Source organism: Homo sapiens, chromosome 5 (assembly GCF_000001405.40).
Source record: "Homo sapiens chromosome 5, GRCh38.p14 Primary Assembly".
Lineage (NCBI taxonomy): Eukaryota > Metazoa > Chordata > Mammalia > Primates > Hominidae > Homo > Homo sapiens.
The window spans coordinates 81,442,354-81,455,139 of NC_000005.10; the positions used below are offsets into that span (position 1 = coordinate 81,442,354).

At 36.0% G+C, this 12,786-nt stretch overlaps 1 protein-coding gene across 91 annotated transcripts in view, besides 1 other annotated feature; it reads right to left on the reverse strand.

Moving 5' to 3' along the window:
- The window catches only part of SSBP2 (single stranded DNA binding protein 2), a 339,004-nt gene that overhangs the window by 29,550 nt on the left and 296,668 nt on the right, over positions 1-12,786 (reverse strand). For 54 of the 91 annotated variants that reach the window (NR_174539.1, NR_174533.1, NR_174553.1 and 51 more), the window contains 3 exons: positions 6,437-6,472; positions 4,515-4,569; positions 300-370 (listed from right to left, as the gene is read on the reverse strand). The exons of 4 other annotated variants lie outside the window; for them this stretch is intronic. Coding sequence is in view for 51 of the 87 variants with exons in the window: in XM_047417066.1 (XP_047273022.1) it covers positions 300-370; positions 4,515-4,569; positions 6,437-6,472 (162 nt within the window). In the remaining 36 variants the exon portion in view is untranslated. Of the gene's footprint in view, positions 1-299; positions 371-4,514; positions 6,530-9,685; positions 9,726-12,786 lie in introns of all 91 variants that reach the window. 33 more of the 91 variants (NR_174559.1, NR_174560.1, NR_174537.1 and 30 more) reach the window with 12 other exon arrangements.
- Positions 8,479-8,980: an enhancer, noted in NCBI's record as "NANOG hESC enhancer chr5:80746651-80747152 (GRCh37/hg19 assembly coordinates)". NCBI's record gives its function as "activates a minimal SCP1, AML or CMV promoter by ChIP-STARR-seq in primed H9 embryonic stem cells {active_cell/tissue: H9 hESC(primed)}" and the evidence as "EXISTENCE:reporter gene assay evidence [ECO:0000049][PMID:30033119]".

Genomic DNA, 12,786 nt, shown 5'->3' on the forward strand with positions numbered 1-12,786 from the left:
ACATAACCTGTCATTTTCAAATAGTATATATCATTAATTATTTACAATAAAATAAGATGAAACTAATGTGTAATTGATTAGGATCAGTTTTACTTTTAAATTATATTGATATAAAATCTCTGTTATATATGTTTACTGTTTTTTTAACCCAGCTCAGAGAAAAGAATTTGACTTTTTGAATATCTAATAAGCTCCTGGATAATAAAATATAAAGTTTAAACAATATACAGGACATGGAATGCACTCAGAGTTTGAAAGTCTTCAAATACATTCCAAAAATAAAAAAAGTTCATATTTACATTAGGTCTGTTAGGTCCAGGAGGTACTGCATTCATTAAAGTATACATGTTATCACCAGAGTTGGTTGAATCTGAAACAAAATATTACTTAATTAAAATATTTCTTTAGAGTCTATACCCAATTCATCACAAAGTAATGATCAAAGATGGTTTGCATACAGATACCTCTCTCTATATAAGCTGCAACACTTGAAATTGTCATTACTAAAAATAAATACCCACAGTCATTTTCTGACCCCAAAATTGTCATTCTGAGGTCATAAATTAGGTATGAGGAATCACTTCAATAATTCAGGTAAAAGGATTATTAGAAATTTAAAAAATTATAGTAAAGTTTTTCTTTTTAAAAAAGATACTTTTTTACTTCAAGCAATTCTATGTGTGTGTATGTGTGTATATGTAATATATAATATCTCTTAAAATTCAGATTCAGTTGCTTTTCAGTTTTATTTCCTTAAGTTTCCAATATACAAATTTTAAAAATAGTCTTTTTACTTAATAATTAGTGAAAGCTGGTGGACTATCCTGGCTTAATTCCGAAAGAAAAAGATTAGAGTAAGAGTATACAATTAGAATAATGTAATTCTCCTGTTTGAACTAAAAGCCAGCTTCTTCCAGCACAACTTCTGATGAAATGTTTTTACTCACTTTATTTTTGATTTATTATAATAAAAATATCTGTACTGCATATCCATATAAATATATGTAACATTGTGCAGTATTTAAAAAATTTATATTTCATGTCTGTTAGCTAATTCTAATTAAGTCTCTGAGCATACATGTTTTTATAATATAAAACCTAGAGTGAAAGGCTAAATATTTTACATTGAGAAAATATAAATGATAAATTATGGTTTTCTATTTTTCCACATTATACAGTTTTCTTAAATATAATGTAGTAGGCCTCTTTTGTTTTATTTTGTTTTTTTAGACAGAGTCTTGCTCTATCGCCCAGGCTGGAGTGCAGTGGCACAATCTTGGCTCACTGCAACCTCCGCCTCCCGGGTTCAAGCGATTCTCTTGCCTCAGCCTCCCAAGTAGCTGGGACTACAAGTGCATGCCACCACGCCTGGCTAATTTTTTATACTTTTAGTAGAGATGGGGTTTCACTGTGTTAGCCAGGATGGTCTTGATCTCCTGACCCTGTGATCTGCCCACCTTGGCCTCCCAAAGTGCTGGGATTACAGGCGTGAGCCACCGCGCCCCGCCAGTAGGCCCATTTTGAGAAAAAGATGTGTTTAAAATTTTTGTACTGATTTGAGACAGAAGGTAAGTATCATTTACTTTCTCATGGCAGTAACCATAGAGTGGCAATTACTTTTCCTTTTACTGTGTGATTACTCATTAGACATTAATAAGTTTATTATTTTAGTGTGTATTACTTACAGAGTAGATCTCATGTCATTTATTGGTTGGCTGTGAACAATGACCCATAAATCTAAATACTGTATCTTATTTGAATATATCTATTTGAATATATCATAATGTTGAAAAAGTTGGAGTGCCTACCTCAGGTTGACCCTATTTGTTTATTCTAAGGAAGGTCCTAACCTACTTTTGTGACCTTAACTGTTTTTACATCCTTGTGTATGCTATACTCCTGTCAACCCAGGCTACTTGTTTTTTCCTGTGACCAACCTTTCTGCCTCCATGATTTTGTTCTTTCTTCCTCCAAACACCTTCTCAATCTCTATGCACTGAAATTCTACTCACTATCGAAGGGCTATCTCAAATGTTATGTCTTCCATGAGGTTTTTTCCTGGCAGTTCCAAGTGCATGAGTGCTCCCCTCCCACTGAGTTCTGCCTTCCATTATAGGAATACTTTACTGCTTTATTCGTTCCTCCTGCTTCCAACTAGGACATAATAAGCTCATGGAGAGAAGGAAAGGACCGTGTCTTACTCATCTTGTGTACTAAAGACAATAAGTACTGCTAACTTAGATTTAACTGTTGGAATAAACTCAATCACACACAAGATTAACTTTAAAAAATCTTGGATTGCTTTTTAAACATAGGAAATCTTCAAATGGTTTTTCAACTGTATTGGCCTTACTCTTGGTAAAAGGAAGATGGGCTACATATTTTAAATGTGCACAAAGAAAAGAAATTTATCATTTTAAAGACTAATCAAGAATATAATTTCATCTGCTACAGAAAAAATTTGAGAGAGATAAGATTGGTATTTATGGCCAGGCGAGGTGGCTCACACCTGTAATCCCAGCACTTTGGGAGGCCAAGGCAGGTGAATCACTTGAGGTTAGGAGTTCCAGACCAGCCTTGCCAACATGGTGAAACCCCGTCTCTACTAAAAATACAAAAATTAGCCGGGCATGGTGGCACACTCCTGTAATCCCAGCTACTCGGGAGGCTGCAGCAGGAGAATTGCTTGAATCCAGGAGGCTGAGCTTGCAGCGAGCTGAGATTGTGCCACTGCACTCCAGCCTGGGTGACAGAGGCTCTGTCTCAGCAAAGAAAAAAAAAATTTTATATATATATATATATATATATATATATATATATATATGTATGTATTTACTGGAAAATGTCTGACTTCTATGTACAGAAAAACTTTACAATAAAGTGGATCTCCTGGGACCTCCTTTCTTGTGGGTGGGGTGCTGGCTGAGTATTAGAGGAGTGACTGTGACACAGGATGAACACATAAAAGAGTATGCAAAAAGACTAGGAAGATGTACTTGTGGCAATTTCTGGTTTGAAAGGAAGATTACTTATTGCCTGCAATGTTCAGTGTTGCTCCAAAAACTTTTTTTTAGTCTTGCAGTGAAGCATTTATTATTCACATGCTACCTTCATAAATTAAACATTAACTTCACCATATAAGAACATAAATATGGGCAAGATGATCAGTTGATATAATTCTATCTTCGATGAATTGTATCATTTTCAATGAAGATGCCTTCAGGACACAGACCATTAAATATCCAAGGAGTTAGTGAAGCAAAGTAAAATTTTGTATTAATTATCAAGTTTATGATTTTTCTAAATTGAAAGGGCTCAAAATTAAAAATTTTTATTGGTATGATCAATGATACTGAATTTCAAGCTTCTATCTTAATTTCAACAAGCCAGTTAAAAACATATGAGTTTAACAGTAAAACATCATAATCAAAAATACTTTATAATTATTAAAATTTCCCATCTACTTAATCATCCCAAAGTAATAACTGATAGAGTTTTAGCCTATTTCTTTGTTTTCTACTTTCTAGATTTGTGTTACGGTTTCAAATGAAACTGTGATTATATTGCATTGAATCATGAGATTTTATTTTTCCATGTCATTACAAATTCTTTGATAATAATTATAATGGCTCTATTATATTCTAACCTACACCTTAAACATTAATTTACTAATTCCACTAAAATTGAATTAGGCATGAGTTTGTGTCTACTGTTTTACTCTTGAGTATAACAAATGAGCATCCTTCTACATAAATCTTGGGTTGTATCTCTGTCATTTCTAGTATTAGAAGTATAGAGTCACATGGTATGAACCTTTTCATGGCTCTTGACACATTTTATCATAGCATTTTCTAAGAAGGGTGCGCCAATTTAGTCTTCCACTGTTAACAACCCCAAGACACATTTAATAGTCTGTGTGAAAGTCTCAAAAATAAATGATAAAACTATTTAAAGTAATTATATAAAAGGATTATGAAAACATTGAAGTATGTTTTAGTTTAGAAGATAAAAAACTTTTATTATTACATAGTGAATTTATAAGCTGACTAATAAATACTTATAGACATGTAGGGTAAATAATACTGTAAGTACTTCTTCATCCTTCATTCATCTTAGTAAGATAATAGATGTGGTGAGTCTGATTTGGCATTTTAAACCTAATGAATCCATGTATTTAATGTTTTATTTATTCAGAAATTTTCTAAATTGTAGAAGATTTGGTTAGTTTTATCAGTCTCAATAAATCTTTAAGTTAGACACATTTTTGGGCAATTCATATAGATCAACAGTGTTCATCCTAATTAAATCTGACACCCACACCATAGGAATTTTCTAAATGCTTAACTGGATAATACTTATTTAAGAACACTATATTTCTTCCTACCATGCTGCCTCTACTCCTTTAACTATCGTGAGAACATGAATACTACTAACTTTATTTCATGAACAATTTCTATATTCTGTGATTTTATTCTAATAATCAAATGCCCATGTGGCTAGTTTGATTACAATACCTGCTGGACTAGGCATGATGGGTGTTCCTGGTGGCCCTCCACCTCCTGGAGGACCCTAAATAATTATACAAAATTTCAGTAAAAATAAGGCATTGCATAAGAAAAAACAGAAGTTAGACTTATATCTATAATAATCCAATTTGAAAATAAGAGCAGAAATATATTTTCTCTAATTTATTTTCTTTGACTGCACAATCATTTCAATATTCTACAAAACATAATTTAGCTTAAATATGTTGAGACTGTTTTGACAAATTTCCAAAAACAATGAGCCTGTACCATTAATTCATTATTCATGACTTAATCATATCAGTTATAATGAGGTTAAGCAGAAATCATTCAACAGGGTCTTTACAAATCCATAAAACAGAAATAATTCATATGTATTTTTAGTTTTTATAGAAAGCTAAAATGATATTCGCTTAGAGAATATATTTAAAAATGAAGATATCTGCTTATTGATTCATATTTTAAAAAAATGCACTGATGTCATTTCTTTCTTCTGTCAGCATCAATTGCAACGTTTCTGGAGCACTGTACCTTCCACTATCACATCAATTAGAAATGAGAGGCAAAGTTGACTAATGCTGTGGGTTATTGAGGCTGTAGCTACACAATCAAACTGAAATGGCGATTAGGTAATTCTAAAATTAATTCAATAATTTCAGATAACCAAAATAGATAATTCAGGCAATGGGTTGTAGGCTTTTTCAGATGCTCTATGTACAGCAATCAAATTAACTTTTAAATGGCAAAATTTTAACTTCATTCTGAATGTACAGATACAGCCTGCCAATTATTTCAGACGAGATCGGGCACATTCAGGGTGGTATGGCTATAGACCTGTCAATTATTTCAAATAATATCTGTATTTGCACAACTTAAAATTTATTTTAAATAAATGTCTATAATTTCATAAAATGATATATCAGCCTTATTCATTAGTGGCTTTAAGAAAAAATAGGTTTTATATAAATTTTCTTACTTTCATTTTTATTTCATAGAAAATGCAAAGAAAGACTTGCTTAGTTTTATAGCTTACATGAACACTGAACACTAAGTTCACAGGTCCAAAGCAGTGTGTGCTTTTCACTATGTTAATAAAATACTATTTCCATGGAGAGTGAAATGCTCACTGATTTTCTTCTTATGCGTTCTTTTTTTCCCCTCCAGCTAGCCACCACCTCTGAACATTTCTGTGGGAAAGATTTCCCTTGTTACCATTTTATCCTTGTTTCTCTGTTAGGTGTTTCCCTCTAAATGGTGTAACGTATTTTCCTCTGTGTTGACTTTGAGATGTAGCTAGGATCATAATGTGATGATGATGATTAAAAGGTCACTTGTAAGCTCAGGAGGTCATATAAAACTTATTAATTTGACTTCACATTGACATGAATTTTTGGAAAATTCTAATGTGTACTAAATAGTAATAATGATAAAAATAAGTGTTCTCAATTTCAAAGAACAACCAAAAAATGAAATGATTCCTCTAAATTATTAGTCATTATTCTGCCATCTAATTCATTTGTGATTGGGAGAAAGTTTAATGTCTTCTTAGACGCTATGTGTGGTGCATAGGGTTGGACTGGGGTGTAGATTATTCTCCTGGAGAACCGCAAATTCAAGCATATTACTGTGTAACTGGGGATTACTCTCTTCATGATTGGACAGAGTGTATTGTACTGGTTTTCAGAAACATATGCTGAAGTAAAACACAGTACTCAGGGCAATTCTGGCCAGATTGATAACTGTTTCACTAATGAACATCAACATATGTACTGAGGTTGGCAGATGAAACAACTCAAGATGTTCACTTCTTGGCCAATACACAGGGGCTCTTCTTAACATCTGGACAACTGTTTCATTGCCCAAATAAAATGTAACATCAATTCTTATAAGCAAACAAACCCAAATGTACTTACTACATAATTCCCAGGAGATGCTGAGGAGTATGGTATCTGGAACACGAATAGGACAAAAAAATTTTTGATTCATGTAGCAATATGGACACTGACCTAAAATGAATTTATTTCATGATTTTTTGTCAAGTTTTAAAATGTATCACAAAGTATAGTAAAGGATAAAAAAATTTGTATCTGTTTAAGTACTGGAAAACTGAATAATAATAACTTGGATTTACACAAAAGAAGGCAGATTTTAGTCAAGAGGATTTTAGACAGAATAACTGCTTTAAGATATATTGGTTTCAGGTAAGTTGTGCATATTGCATGATACTAATTACTTATTCTGTAAGTAGAAATATATATATTTGTGTATCTAAAAATGGGAAACCAGAATTTTTCAAATTAGTAGTATTTACACATACAATTTCTAAGCTATGCAAAAAAAGTTTGTTAATACGAGTCTCCAAAGACTATTAATTTGTGAGGATCAGATATGGGTAACAAACTCCCTTTTTCTCTTCAAATCAAGCTCTTCACCAAGCTCTTTTCTAGAGATTAGAAGGTATTAATACGACATTGCTGTGATAATTTAAGAAATGAAAAACCAGAAAACCTATGTTTAAAAGTAAGCCCTCGAGTATGTATATTAATAGGGAAAGTTAAATCCAAATATTTTCTTTTTTCACACAAGCTTACTAGCTAACTTGTATTAAGATGCTGTACATCCATAAGAGATATTTTTGTCTTATTCTGAAGAACACCAATAGATTACTCTCTACTCGAAGTCAGACAGCCAGGGCCAGAATAGGACCTTTACAGTAGTGAAAAGATAAGTGCTTGTACTATTCTAAACCATCTATCCCAATACCTGCTATATAATTAAACACAAAAATAATATGAAACCATAAAGTAAGTATAAGGAAGTACAACCAAGTTATGATTTCCTCTTGATAAATATTTGTTTTTTTGGAAATATTTAATATTAAGTTATTTGAAAAGCTTTTCTCCTTATTTGGTGTTCTTGCTTTGCCTTACGCACACAACACATGTCCCAAGGCTCTGCTTGGTCTGCCTATGAGTAATTCAGCACTGCAGATGGCCACTGCTAGAGTGCCCAGCATCACTAGGGATTAGAATTAATTCTGCTGAGTACTGAGATTTTTTTATGGCAGCAAACATTTACTTCATTTAGTGAATGAATACAACTTTGCTCTCTTGGGTCCCTTTCAGTTCATGATCTACCTACCATCCATCCTCCGCTTCTCATTTTCTTGGAGGGGACAAGGTCTTTTTTTGTCACCCAGGCTGGAGTGCAATGGGACAAACAAGGCTCACTGCAGTCTCGACCTCCTGGGCTCAAGCAATCCTCCTACCTTGGCCCCACAAGTAGCTGGGACTAAGGTGTGCTCCACTGGCTAATTTTTAATTTTTTGTAGAGATGGAGTTTTTCTATGTTGCCCACGCTGGTCTCAAACTCCTGAGCCAAGCGATCCATCTGTCTTGACCTCCCAAAGTGTCAGGATTATAGGCGTGAGCTGCTGTGCTGGGCCTACTTCTCTTTATTTAAATGTGAGTCTGCCCTTTCCAAACCACCAATTTATCTATCGGCTCCTAGGACCAATTTCATCTCTCTCTGTCTTTAGCACTTGGCTCATGTTCTTCTGTCACTCTATATTGCCTATCATCATTCTTAAGCAACTTTAAGATACAATCTAATTAGCCTTTAGATATTTGGAACTTGCAGTTCACCGCCTTGCTTTACTTTACAATATACTGCCCTCTCCTCCATTTATGAGTATGGTCATATCCTAGAACTCTTTACTGAACAACTAACTCCCTTGCCTGACATCTTTCTTATTCCTCATGACACTTACAAAAATTACTCTATATTCCAACCAGGGTTTTCTTGCATCACAATTCCACCATGTTTACTTAGCACATTATTTCTCTATTAGTTTATAACTAAATTGCCTCTGCCTCTCCTTCATGGCACTGTCAACATTTTATTCCTCTCTCCAATGTCTTAAATTCATTATCATAAAGTCTACTTTGTTAATTTCCATCTCTTTGATCACCCTCTAGCCAGCCAACCTTTCTGTTTTAATGCACAGATTTCCTGGAGAGAAACACAAAACACGGTTGACAAGATCCAAAATGTAATCATGCTCTCCAACTTCTACCTCATCTTAACAAATATCTGGAAGCATTTTTGGCTCAGCCTTTATGAAAGCCTTGAAGCTTACTGGTAATGTGTCAGTAAACCCAGTAAACTTCATGGGGGAAAAAAAGCCCTGATTTATAGTATTTGCCAGTTACTGTGGTGTAAATATTCCCACATGGCAGATTTTAAGCTAACAGTGGTTTAACAAACAGCTCATGAAATTCCTGAATATTTAACAATGGACTCTTGTGAGCTGGCACTCATGGTGATTACACCATCCTGAGTAAATATTTCGTCTTCCTGTCATACATTGAAGCTATCGTGCTCTTACTATACCTTCATTTTCAGCTCAACATTCTATTATTTATAGATTTAAATTTTCATGTATATCCCAGATAGGAAAAAAAAAAACTTTGTTTATTTCCAAAGGTAGCTTTTCTCAACTATCTCATTCTTAAGTCCTTGCTCCTTTTATATTATTTATTTATTGTATTCTATTTATTTATTTTTTGAGATGGAGTTTCGCTCTTGTTGCCCAGGCTGGAGTGCAGTGGCGTGATCTAGGCTCACTGTAACCTCTGCCTCCTGGGTTCAAGCGATTGTCCTGCCTCAGCCTCCCAAGTAGTTGGGATTACAGGTGCCTGCTATCACGCCCGGCTAATTTTTGTATTTTCAGTAGAGATGGGGTTTCACCATGTTGGCCAGGCGGGTCTCGAACCCCTGACCTCAGGTGATCCACCCGCCTTGGCCTCCCAAAGTGTTGGGATTTACAGGCGTGAGCCACTGTGCCTGGCCTCCTTTTATACTTTTAATTTCTCCTTCTTCATGATTCCTTCAAAGAGTTAAATAAAATAAACATTTAAAAATACTTTTACAAATGTTATCTCAACTAGTTGTTCAATTTCTTTCAATTTTTTGCCCCGTCAAGCTCTTTATTTTTGGCTTATGCTGTTTCTACTTCATAGTCTTTGATGTCTTTATTAAAAATCAGCATTTGGGCTCCTAGCCCTAGGACCAGTAGTGTGAAGGACATAAAATATAACAATATAGGTAGAAGTACCATGTGAGTACAGAAGATACATTTGAGCTGGACAGTTGGGACTTACAGAGAGTAGATGCCCATCAGAAAGACAAAGAGAAGAACTGCTATAAAAAACAAAGAAAGAAAGAAAAGAAATCATGGTTTATTTGGGAAATGCTATGCTATGTTATATAGCTGCTATAGTGTGGGGCTTATAGGGGGTTGTGGTAAAGGGTGAGGCTGCACAGTCAGACTATGAATGAATTTATGTTGTAGGAAATAAGGAGTCATGGGTTTTATAGAGACATGTTCAAATGTATGTTTTTAAAATCCTTTTTTATTTTTAAATATTTTGTACAGACAGAGCCTCACTTTTTTCTCCAAGCTGGTCTCAAACTCTTGGCCTCAAGCTATCCTCCTGACTCAGCTTCCTGAAGTGCTGGGATTACAGGCATGACCTACCACACCTAGCCCTAAATTTATGTTTTAGAGAAATAAGTCTAGAGGCATCATGGAATATGAATACAAGTTAGAAGACCACTGGAAAAAAATCCTGGCAAGAGATGATAAAGAGTGATAGGCAGTGCTGATGAAGATAAGCAAGAGTAGGAGAATTTGAGGGTCATTTCACAAAGTACTTGGCAGAGCTTGGTGACAAACTGGGTGTGGCAGACAAAGAAAGGAAGAAGTTAAGATAATTCCTAGGTTTTCAACGTGGTGACTGGGTAGATGCTGCTGCTACTCATTTATACATAGGGAATTCAGGAAGTGGGGCAGGTTTGGGGAAATGTCTGATTATAGGATTTGAAGGTACCAGAAGACACTGAGGTAGATATGATAAACAAACTTTTAGAAATGCAGGTCTAGAATGTATCAGAGACCAGGACTAAGGATACAGCTTCAACTGAATAAACTTCTACTTTGTGCTGGACAAGATACTTGATCTAGGATTAAACTAGATTTTTGGTAGTTGAAACAACATGGTAGCATTAAAATGAAAAAAAAAAAAAGCAGCCAAGAAATGTAATTAGAAAACATTGCCAATTAAGAATGGGTGGAGACCAGGCATGGCAGCTCACACGTGTAATCCCAGCACTTTGGGAGGCTGAGGTGGGAGGACTGCTTGAGCCCAGGAGTTTGAGACGAACCTGGGCAATATGGCAAAACCTTGTCTCTATAAAAAACAAAAAAAAAATTAGCCAAGCATGGTGGCATGTGCCTCTAGTCCCAGGTACTCAGGAGGCTGAGGTGGGAGGATTGCTTGAGCACAGGAGGTGGAGGTTGCAGTGAGCTGAGACTGCACCACTTGCACCACTGCACTCCAGCCTGGGCAACAGAGTGAGACCCTGTCCCCCCACCCCACCAAAAAAAAGAGATAGAGAAAGAATGGTGGATATGTGACTGGATGAAAATCAGGAAAAATATAAAAAGTCAAGCAAGTTAGATTTTTAAGAAGGAGGTAGCAGATGCAGTGATTAGGAAATATCTAAACTGGGTTTATTCTTTTTTTTTTTTTTTTTTTTGAGACGGAGTCTTGCCGTCGCCCAGGCTGGAGTGCAGGGGCGTGATCTCGGCTCACTGCAGGCTCCGCCCCCCGGGTTCACGCCATTCTCTTGCCTCAGCCTCCCGAGTAGCTGGGACTACAGGCGCCCGCCACCTCGCCTGGCTAATTTTTTGTATTTTTAGTAGAGACGGGGTTTCACTGTATTAGCCAGGATGGTCTCGATCTCCTGACCTCGTGATCCGCCTGCCTCGGCCTCCCAGAGTGCTGGGATTACAGGCGTGAGCCACTGTGCCTGGCCCTGGGTTTATTCTTGAAGGCTGTCAGGCTTAAGCTTTTTACCTTTCTGTGATACACCTAAAAGTAAATAAAAAAGTAATAAAAATATGGAAAACTAAAGAAACATTATTAAACCAAAAAAAGAAAAGATATTAATACAAAACCAAGGAGTCAAATATCTCAAATGTTAGGTATGATGAGGATAGAAAGTAAGTCACTGAGTTTGGTTGGTAAGTAGAAAGTCACTAATAACCTTCAAAATAGGACTTTCATGGGAACTGAAATGGGTTGAGAAGTAAATTCAATAAACTTCCATTCATTACCTGTTATGTTTCAGGCACTTCATTGCCACATGGTGATTAAAAAGACAGGCCAAGGAATTAATTATCTAGGAGAAGGTGGTGAGGGAGTGGAAGTATGGGAGACATGGGATGGTGGCTGGAGACTGAGGAAGGGTTGAGAGAAGTTTTGTACTGGTAACCCCTCCCAACTCTAGAGGAGTAGAGAACTAGAGCCTTCGGATTGTCTTGGGATTTTGTTCACGGCATGGCACTAGAGGAAAGTTCCAGTCAATGGAAAGGGACATAGACTAAAGACTCATTTGAAAGAGTGAATGAGTAGGATATGCAAAGAAGTAACAAGAAATAGAACAAAGAGATAGATAGGGACAGGCGTGGTGGCTCACACCTGTAATCCCAGCAGTTTGGGAGGCCAAGGTGGGTGGATCACCTGAGGTCAGGAATTCGAGACCAGCGTGGCCAACACGGTGAAACCTTGTCTATACTAAGAATACAAAAGTTAGCTGGGCATGGTGGTCAGTGCCTGTAATCCTAGCTACTCGGGAGCCTGAGACAAGAGAATCGCTTGAACCTGGGAGATGGAGGTTGCAGTGAGCCGAGATTGTGCCACTGCACTCCAGCCTGGTGACAAGAGCAAAATTCCATCTCAAAAAAAAATAATAGAACAATAAATAAAAATAAAAAAGAGAGAGAGAGAATAGACAGAAGGGTCAGAATTGAAAAGAAAATACATATATATATATATTTCTATTTCTGAGGTAAGAAGGAAGAAAGGTGACTAAAGGTCTGATAACATTGGACGCAAAGGGCAGAATCTGAAGAAATTTGAATCTAATGGTCTCTTCTTCTCCTCTGTAAAATATGACACAATTAGCTGATAGAGAAGGGGCCAAACATAATGTAGGTGCAGAATGAGAATAAAGAATTGCAATAGTATTCACTGAGGAGGACAAGAAAAGTAGCTAAGGAAGAGTGAAAAAAACAAACTGCTGGTAAAGCATCAGGGAGGACCTGGCTGAGGCTGAACATCACAGATCCTAATTATAACGTGTTAAGTATAAGGATAGAAATACGCATTAGGCATTGTGGAAGAATCAAAGGTGTCCT